The following is an 11098-nucleotide window of genomic DNA, read 5'->3' on the forward strand; positions in this document are numbered from 1 at the left end:
ACCACAAAGAAAATATCTATAGAATATACACAAAAGTAAATGGGAAGGGAATAAAAATGTATCACTACAAAAAATCAACTAAATACAAAAGAAGGTAGTAATGAAAGAAATGAGATAAATGATAATGAAATACAACATATCAAAACTTACGGGATGCATAACTTCAAAGTATATATGTTTACAGTAACCAAACCAGCATGGTACTGGCACAAAAATAGACACATAGACCAACAGAACAGAATAGAGAACACAGAAATAAAGCTACACAACTACAAACAACTGATCTTAAAAAAAATCAACCAAAGTAAGCAATGGGGAAAAGTCGCTGTTAAATAAATGGTGTTGGGAGAACTGGCTAACCATATGCAGAAGAATTAAATTGAACACCTATTTATCACCATACACAAAAAACAACTCAATATGGATTAAAGACTTAAATGTAAGACCTTGAACTATATAAATCCTGGAAGAAAACCTAGGAAATACACTTCTGGACATTGTCCTAGGCAAAGAGTTTATGACTAAGTCCTCAAAAGCAATTTCAACAAAAACAAAAATTGACAAGTGAGATCTCATTAAACTAAAGAGTCTGCACAGCAAAAGAAACCATCAACAAAGTAAACAGACAACCTATAGAATGGAAGAAAATATTTGCAAACAATGCATCTGACAACGGACTCATATCCAGAATCTGTAAGGAACTTAAACATATCAACAAGCAAAATACAAATAACCCTATTAAAAAGAGGGCAAATGACACGAACAGACACTTTTCAAAAGAAGACGTATGAGTGACCAACAAACATATGAAAAAATACTCAACATTACTAGTCATCAGAGAAATGCAAATCAAAACCGCAATGAGACACCATCTCACATCAGTCAGAATGGCTATTATTAAAACTTCAAAAAATGACAGATGTTGGTGAAGCTGCAGAGAAAAGGGACTGCAAATACACTGTTGGTAGGAATGCAAATTAGTTCAGCCACTGTAGGAAGCAGTTTGGAGATTTCCCAAATAACTAAAAATATAACTACCATTTGACACAGCAATCCTATTACTGGGTATATACCCAAAGGAAAATAGGTCATTCTACCAAAAAGACCCCCGCACTCATACATTCATCACAGCACTATTCACAATAGCAAAGACAGAATCAACCTAGGTGCCCATCAATCATGGATTTGATAAAGAAAATGCAGCATATGTACACTATGGAGTACTATGCAGCCATTAAAAATAATAAAATCATATCCTTTGCAGCAACATGGATGCAGCTGGAGGCCATTATCCTAAGTGAATTAATGCGGAAACAGAAAACCAAATGTCTCATGTTCTCACTTAGGTGGAAAATAAACCTTGAGTACACGTGGACATAAAGATGGAAAAAACAAACACTAGGGACTCCAAAAGGAGAGGAGGAGAGAGGCGGCAAGGGCTGAAAAGCTTCCTATTGGATGCTGTGTTTATTATCTGGATAACAGGATCAATAGAAGCCCAAACCTCAGCACCACACAAATATCCTGTAACAAACCTGCACACGTATCCCCTGAATCTAAAATTTAAAAAATTATAATTAAAAATCCCTTATGGGATTCGGTAAAAGTGATGCTAGGAAAAAACGTGTAGATTTCAATGCTTACATTAAAAAAGAAGAAAAATCTCAAATTCACAAACTAACTTTATGCCTTAGGAAACTATGAAAAGAAGAATAAACTAAAACCAAAGCTGTCAAAAGGAACATAATTAATAAATAATAAAGATTAGAGCAGAAATTTTTTAAAAAGAGAGTAGAAAAATAGAGAAAATTAACAAAATTAAATGTTGATTATTCAAAAAAAACAACATTGAGAAAACTTTAGCTACATTATCTAAGGAAAAAAGAGAGAAGATTCGAATAACTAAAGTCAGAAATAAAAGTGGGGACATTACCATCAATTTTACAGAAATAAAAATGATTAAAAGAGAATACGATGAATAATTATACACCAACAAACTGGATAAAGTAGTAAATTTAAAAATTCCTATAAAACATAAAATCTATCACAATTGACTCAGGGAGACATAGAAAATCTGATCAGATGTATAACTAGGAAGGAGATTGAATCGCTTATCAAAAACCTCCAAGAAAGAAAAGCCCAGGAATGCGCCCACCGTGTCCATGGGGACAGGCTGAGGCGGCCGGGCTCCGAGGCACCAGGGCTCCAGGACGGCGAAGATGTCAGCTTCCTTAGTCTGGGCAACTAAAAAAACTAAAAAACTAGAAAAACTAGGAAAACTAAAAAAACTAGAAAGAGGAAACTGCAGCCCAACGGGGCTGCCTTCACCCTGACACCCTCAGCAGTAAACAAGATAAAACAACTTCTTAAAGATAAGCCTGAGCATGTAGGTGTAAACGCTGGTGTCTGAATCAGGGGCTGTAATGGCCTTTCTTATACTGTAGAATATACAAAGACAAAAGGAGATTCTGATGAAGAAGTTATTCAAGATGGAGTCAGAGTATTCATCGAAAAGAAAGCCCAGCTAACACTTTTAGGAACAGAAATGGACTATGTTGAAGACAAATTATCCAGTGAGTTTTTGTTCAATAACCCAAACATCAAAGGAACTTGTGGCTGTCGAGAAACCTTTAATATTTGAAATCTCAGGACTCTTCTGGCCATAGGCTCCAGGAAAGCTCGTGGAAGCCTTGGGGCTCACTGAAGAAATCACGTGACTGTCACATGCTTAATGTGCGGCTGCCTTATAAGGAAAATAAAGTGATGCATTTTGAAAATGAAACAAACAAAAAAAAGAAAAACCTAGAAGCAGATGGCTTTACTGGTGAATTCTACTCATTTTTAAAGAAGAATTAATACCAATGCTTCTCAAATTCTTCCCAAAAGTTGAAGAGAAAACACTTCCTAACATTCAATAAAGCCAGCATTACTTTTGATACCAAAGCCAGAAAACAAAATTACAAGAAAACTACAGACCAATATTCCTTATGAATATTGACACAAAAGTGCCTAACAAAGTACTAGCAAACCAAATTTGGCAACATATTAAAAAAAATACGCTATGACCAATGGGGTTTATTCTTGGAATGTAAGAATTGTTCAACATATGACACTAAATCAATGTAATATGCCACATTAATAGCATGAAGAGAAAAAAAACCCCACATGGTCATCTGAATTGATGAAGAAAAACCATTTGACAAAATTCAATACCCATTTATGATTTTTTTAAAATGCCCAAAAAATAAGGAGTAGGAAGAAATTTTCCCAACATAGTAGAGTCCATATATGAAAGTGCACCACCAGTATCATAATCTATGGTGAAAGACTGAAAGCTTTTAGCCTAAGATCAGGAACAAAACACGGGTTCCCATTTTTGGCCGTATGTTCAACACAGTACTGGAAGTTCTAACTGAAGCAATTAGGCAAGAAAAAGAAGGAAGAAAGGAAAGCAGTAATAAAACCACTTCTGTTCACAGTTGACATGATTTTATATGCAGAAGATCATACACACACAAAACCTGTTACAGCTATTAATAACAAGCAAATACAGCAAAGTTTAGGATACAAAATCAGCATGCAAAACTTGGTAACATTTCTATACACTAACAAAGAGCAATTCAAAAAAGAAAATGATTGCATTTACAATAACATCAAAAAATATAAAATAGTCAGGAATAAATTTAACCAAGGAAGCAAAAGACTTGTACACAGAAAATAACAGAACATTGCTACAAGAAATTAAAGAAGACTAAATAAATGGAAAAACATCCTTTGTTCATAGATGATAAGTCTTGACATTATTAAGATGACAATACTAACCAAAGCAATCTCCATTCGTTGCAATTCCTATCAAAATCCTAATAGTGATTTTTGCGAAAATGGAAAAACTCATCCTAAAGTTCATATAAAATCTCAAGGGGCCCCACATAGCCAAAACTATCGAGAAAAAGAAAGAAAATTTGAACTCTCACATTTCCTGATTTCAAAGTATACTACAAAGCTACCACAAAAGCAAAACAATGCAGCACTGGCATAAGGATACATAAATATGTTAATGGAACAGAATATAGAGCCCAGAAATAAATCCTTGCATATTTGGTTGATTGACTTTCAACAAGGGTTTGCAGAGCATTCGCTGGGAAAAGGACAGTGTTTTCAACAAATGGTGTTGGAAAAATTGGATATCCACATGTAAAAGAATCAAGTTGAACCCTTACCTTACACCATTTACAAAAATTAACTCAAACTTGATCAAAGACCTAAAGGTAAGAGCTAAGACTATAAAACTCTTAGGAAACATCAGGGAAAAGCTTTATGGCTTGGATTTGGCAATGATTTCTGAAAAGTACAGGCAACAAAAAGAGAAAATAGATAAATAGAATTTCATCAAAATTAAAAACTTTTGTGCACGCCTGTAATCCCAGCACTTTGGGAGGCCAAGACAGGTGGACTGCTTGAGCCCAGGAGTTGGAGACCAGCCTCGGCAACATTGTGAGACCTCATCTCTACAAAAACAAACAAACAAACAACAACAACAAAAAACCTTTTTTGCCTCAAAGGGTACTGTCAGGAGAGTAAAAAGGCAAACCACAGAATGGGATAAAATATTTGTAAATCTTGTATCGATAAAGAATTAATATCCGGAGGCTGGATGAAGTAGCTCACGCTTGTAATCCCAACACTTTGGGAAGCCGAGGCAGGCAGATCACCTGAGGTCAGGAGTTCGGGGCCAGTCTGGCCAACATGGTGAAACCCCATCTCCACTAAAAATACAAAAATTACCCAGGCATGGTGGCACATGCCTGTAATCCCAGCTACTCGGGAGGCTGAGGCAGGAGAATCGCTTAAACCAGGAGATGGAGGTTGCAGTGAGCCATGATCATGCCACTGCACTCCAGCCTGGGAGACAGAGCAAGACTCCATCTCAAAAAAAAAAAAAAAAAAAAAGGAATTAATATCCAGAATATATTAACTCCTGTATTTCAACAACAAAAACCAAACAACTGGATTGAAAAATGGGTGAACAAGACAAACTGTGGTCCCAGCTACTCAGGAGGATGAGGTGGGAGGATCACTTGAGCCCAGGAGTTCAAGTCCAGCAAGGACAACATAAAAAGACCCCACCTCTTTAAAAAAAAAATTAACTCATTATTTTTAAAATGGGCAAAAGACTGGAGTAGACATTTCTCTGAAGAATATATACAGATGTCCAGCAAGAACATAAAAAGGTGCTGAACATCACTAATCATTAGGGAAATGCATATCAAAACCACAATGAGATACCACGTCACACTTTTTAGGATGACATTCAAAAAAAAAAAAAACCACACAAAATAACAAGTGACAAGTGTTGGTGAGGATGTGGAGAAATTGGAATCTTAGTGGGAATGTAAAACCCTGTTAAATGTAACCCCTGTTCAAAACAGTTTGGTGGCTCCTCAAAAATTTGAACATAGAATTATCACACAGTTCACAATTCTTCTCCTAGGTATATGCCCAAAAGAATTGAAAGCAGGGACTGGAAGAGATATTTGTACATTCATGTTCATAGCAGCCTCGTTTATAATAGTCAAAAGGTGAAAGCAACCCAAGTCCATCAACAGATCAATAGATAAACAAAAATTATGGTGGATGCATACGATGGAACATTATTCAGCCTCCAAAAGGAAAGAAATTCTAACACATGCCACAACATAGATGAACTTTGAGAACATTATGCTAATTGAAATGAGCCAGTCACAAAGGACAAAGACTATATGATTCCATTTATATGAGGTACCTGGAGGAGTCAAATGCAGATAGAAAGTTGAAAGGGGGTTAAGAGGAGGCAGAATGGGGAGTTAGTGTTCAATGGGTACAGAAAGCTGCCTCAGGCTTACTTCACCAGATCATAAAATTTTTAACTTAATTCTACTTGAGTCACCCTCTTCCCACTTGGACGTCCCTGTTCGCAGGGCTGTTCACAGCTGTGGGTCATCGGACCAGGCAGGAGCCTCGTGGTCTGCATGTGTCACGGTGAAGCCCTCCTTCATCCTGCCCACAGGGCCCCTCATAGAGATTTTTCTCTTTCTGTTGCTGCTTGCTTTCCTCTTTCATCTTCCTCATGGAGAACATCTTTCTGGTGTGTGAGAAAAGCCCGCCTCTCTCTCCCTGTTTCTAGTAGAGATGTCTTGTTTACATCCACAAATCCTCTCCCTTTCTGGGGCTTAGGCTTTTGGGAAGTAGGGTTGGGAAGACTTTAAGCCCATCTCTTCTTCCTTCCTCACAGGGGCTACCCTAATGGCGAAGGGCTCTGAGCTCACTCCCTGCTGGAGTCAGGGGAAGTATGGGGGAAAGAAACTTCACGCAAGTCAGAGTCGGAAAATGTTACCAAGCCACAACCAGCCCATTTCACAGAGGAGTGGAGCACAGCCTACCTAGGGAAATGGCGTGCTCAAGGTTGTCAGCTGGCAGGTGTCACCATGCAAGGTTGTTGGTCTCCTGATGCCTAAGCAGGGATCTTTCCACAGCAGCTCCCAGCCTGGGGCTGAGGACAGCCAGCCTGGGACCCACCCTGGTTCCCGTTCCCCCAGCTGGGAGCTTGGGAAAGTGCAGCAACCCCTCTTCCTTCCACGCCCTGCGTCGGCCACCGTCTTACAGCTGTGTGAGCCCTCCCCAGCTAATTTGACACAGCTGCCCCACCGTACCTCCTGGAGCTGGCTGGACATCTGCTTCAGCAACACGAGATTTCTCACTGACTTTACAGAGTGAAAGTCTCTCCAGCTGGGAGTCCCGGGTGTGAAGCTGATCAGCAAGTGACGAATGGGAGCTGAGTCCTGCCTCTGGCTGTGGAGGCTCCTGTTTCGACTTCTCGTTATGGCCAGGATCAGAAGAGTGGGTCCTGGCCAGGCACACTATTCCATGGTTTCATTTCATCTTCCCTCTACAGACAGGCCCCCCTCCCCCCCAAAAAAACCCCTTCCCCCATCATCAGATCCCCCTAGCACACCACACACCACATCTCACATGTGCCCTGCCAACTTCTCCTGTGTTTTATACGTAGCCTGGCACCCATTCCACTGACTTTCCTCTTGCTCATGTTGGGCCTGAGCCTTCTGGGAAGTGGCCTGTCCTTGTTTTCTGGGGCTCTCCAGGGTGGGTTTCTCATGTGCTGGAGTTCAGATGTTACCGCAGCCTGTCCTGGTTCATCTTCCACTTTCCTAGCTTCCCTGCCCCTCGTGACCTGAGCTGGACGCTCCTGTTCCTATAGCAGCCTTGTCAGGGCATCAATTACATCCTCTGGACACATGTTCTAAAATATATTAGTAGAAAATTTGAGGTGTAGTAAGGCAGATGAGGAGACAGCTGCCATTGAACTGAGAGTTTATTGCTCACAGTTCCAAGAGGAGGGAGCATGCCATGACACCCGGGTCCACACGGCAGGCACCAGCATTGGTCAGGAGGCAGAGGGAGCACAGGAAAACAAGGGCAAGAGCATTTAGCAGCTTTCTGCGGGAAGTACCAGAGAAGCTGGGCAGGCAGACTTAGGATTGGCTGGCTTGAATCATTTCAGTATGTGCCAGGTCATAGAGGCTGTCCCTAGTTGTCTGGTACCTGGCCCTAGGTGTTGGATGAGGGCAGGTGGGTGGTAGCCCTGAGTATGATAGCCCAGATAGAGGAGGGGGTAGGGAGTGGGCTTTGAATTGGTTGGTTTGCATGTGAAAGGTGCACTCAGGGGCAAGTCCCTCTAGGGTAAGCAAGGCCCCATTTGTTAAAGCATCAGAAAACAAAAGACATGGTTACTACAGCACAGAAGCCACTTCTGTAGGGTGACACTATTGCCAACGGCTGTGCCAGCTCCGTTAGGTGCCCTGGTCCTTCCTCTTGAACAGGGGCTCTGGAGCCGGGACTGCCTCCTGCACTCTTTCCTGCTTTCAGTTGGAGATGCACTAGCTCTTGGACCATTCCTACCCAGCTCTTCCAAGTGAAAGATGACACTCCTCCCTCCAGGCCCCAGTCACTGGCCACCACAGCTCTCTTCCTTCAGGGAGTTACCTCCCAGGGTGCTCCTCTGCCCGAGGTCACCAGACCCTCTAGGACACAGGTGATCAGCACTGGGTAATTCATAGGCTTACACCAGGGCCACCGCAGCCCAAGGAGTTCATGCTGCATAATATGCAATTTGGGAGTGTGCGTTTAAAATGTAAATTCATACCGTAAACATTTCCCATGTTACTAAGAACCCATAAAAATATTGTACTTATTTGCATAATCGTCCACTGTGAGCATATCCTCATTCCCTGCTGCTGGCCATTGGAGGGGTAAGAGGCTGAGGGACCATCAAGGGGTCCTAGTTCCTGCCTCCCCTCCCTGATGCTACACACACACAGCGACAAGAGCAGAAATGAACGAGGAGGTGCCTGGCAACCATAAAGTCTGATCCTACGAGCACATCTCAGCACATCTCCCTTCCCAAGGATGGCCCTCAGCCAAGAAAGCACGTCCTGGAGTTCGGCAGAATGGGCAAGAGCACAAAGCTATCTTTTGTGACTAGTTTTCTTCCTTGGAAATGACGTTGAGTTCTCTGAATCAATCTCCCAGTGTCCCTTAGCAAGTATTATTACTCCCATGAAAAATAGGTATTTTGTTATTTTTTTGTGTCCTTTCATGTGCTGGGCACTCTGCTAGGCATGCACTAGCTGCATCCTGTTGAAGGGAGTCTATGTTTTACAGGTAGGTAAACTGAGGTACCAGAAATAAAACCAGCTTAGTGGGAGTCAAGCAGAACATCCACCAAGACCCATAACCTCATTGTCCTTGGTTCACTCAACGGTGAGGAGACTGCTGCTCTTGGAGGGTCTTGACCTATAGGCAAGGCCACCTGGAATTAATTTGATTGTGAGGAGGATTTGACAGAGCTGGAAAAGCTCATTGAATATTTGACTGAACAAGACATGCAAACTTTTGCTTGTTAAATCCTGCAAATAATTTCTAATGTACATCAGATTCATATTGTGGGAGGTTAATGTGGAAAGGGGAATGCAGAAAGAAGGAAGAGAGATTCAGAGCCAGAAAAGGATCTGAGTGAGACAGAGTGAAGAGTGGAGACAGCAGGAGAGCGTGGGCAGAGGCAGCCTTGAAAAGGAAGGCCCACCGGGTCCGGTGGCTCACTTCTGCAATTCCAGCACTTTGAGAGGCTGAGGTGGGAGATCACTTGAGCCTAGGAGTTTGAGACCAGGTTAAGCAACACAGGGATACCTCACCTCTACAAAAAATGCAAAAATTAGCCAGTCTTGGTGGCACACACCGGAAGTCTCAGCTACTTGGGAGGCTAAGGTGGGAGAATCATTTGGGTCCAAGGGGTTGAGGCTGCAGTGAGCCATGGTTGTTCTAGTGCACTCCGGCCTGGGTGACACAATGAGACCCTGTCTTAAAAAAAAAAAAAGAAAAAGAAAAAGAAAAGGAAGGCCCTGTTCTGAGCCCCTCGCTGCTACTTGCTTTGTTGGCTTTGGGAACGTCTTTCTCAGCTCTATGAGATGCTAAGTGGACAATTAATAATTATTCAATTGTATTCATCAGCACATGGAATATTCTCCAATATAGACCATATGATAAGCCACAAAACAAGTCTCAATAAATTTAAGAAAATCGAAATTATTTCAAGTACTCTCTCAGACCACCGTGGAATAAAATTGGAAATCAACTCCAAAAGGAAAACCCTCAAAACAATCCAAATACAAGAAAATTAAACAAGCTGTTCCTGAATGATCATTGAGTCAACAATGAAATCAAGAAGGAAATTTAAAAACTCTTTGAACTGAGCAATAACAGTGACACAATCTATCAAAACCTCTGGGATACAGCAAAAGCAGTGCTAAGAGGAAAGCTCATAGCATTAAATGCCTACATCCAAAAGTCTGAAAGAACACAATAGACAATCTAAGCTCACACCTGAAGGAACTAGAGAAACAAGAATAAGCCAAACCCAAACCCAGCAGAAGAAAAAAAATAATAAAGATCGGTGCATAACTACATGAAATTGAAACAAAAAAATTCAAAAGATAAATGAAACAAAAAGCTGGTTCTTTGAAAAGTTAAACAAAATTGGCAGACCAACAGTAAGATTAACCAAGAAAAGAAGAGAGAAGATCCAAATAAGCTCCATTAGAAATGAAATGGGAGATATTACAACGGATAACACAGAAATACAAAAGATCATTCAAGGCCACTATGAATACCTTTATGCACACAAACTAAAAAATCTAAAGGAGATGGATAAATCCTGGAAATATATAACTCTCCTAGATTAAACCACGAAGAAACAGAAACTCTTAACAGACCAATAACAAGCAGTGAGATTGAAATGGTAATTAAAAAAAAAAAACTGCCAACAAAAAAAAGCCCAGGACCACGTGGATTCACCACTGAATTCTATTAGACATGCAAAGAAGAATTGATACCAATCCTGTTGACACTGTTCCAAAAGATAGAGAAAGAGGGAATCCTCCCTAAATCATTCTATGAAGCCAGTATCACCCTAATACCAAAACCAGGAAAGCACACAACAAAAAAGAAAACTACGGACCAATATTCCTGATGAACATAGACGCAAAAATCCTCAACAAAATACTAGCTAACCAAAAAAGCCATCTATGACAAACCCACAGCCAACATTATACTAAATGGGACAAAGTTGAAAGGATTCTCCCTGAGAACTGGAACAAGACAAGGATGCTCACTTCCACTACGTCTATTCAACATAATCCTGGAAGTCCTAGCCAGAGCAATCAGACAAGAGAAAGAAATAAAGGGTATCCAAACTGGTAAAGAGAAAATCAAACTGTCGCTGTTCGCTGATATGATTGTATACCTAGGAAACCCTAACGACTCAGCCAAATAGCTCCTAGAACTGACAAATGCATTCATTAAAGTTTCAGGATACAAAACTAATGTACATAAATCAGTAGTACTGCTATACATCAACAGTGACTAAGCTGAGAATCAAATTAAGAACTCAACTCCTTTTACAATAGCTGCAAAAAAATAAAATAAAATATTTAGGAATATCCCTAAGCAAAGAGGTAAAAGACCTCTATGAGGAAAACTACAAAATACT

At 40.7% G+C, this 11098-nt stretch overlaps 1 pseudogene; it reads left to right on the top strand.

Annotated features, from left to right (window-relative positions):
- Positions 2145–2781, top strand: ISCA1P2 (iron-sulfur cluster assembly 1 pseudogene 2; annotated as a pseudogene).

The sequence above is a fragment of the Homo sapiens genome, chromosome 1 (genome assembly GCF_000001405.40).
Source record: "Homo sapiens chromosome 1, GRCh38.p14 Primary Assembly".
Classification (NCBI taxonomy): Eukaryota; Metazoa; Chordata; class Mammalia; order Primates; family Hominidae; genus Homo; species Homo sapiens.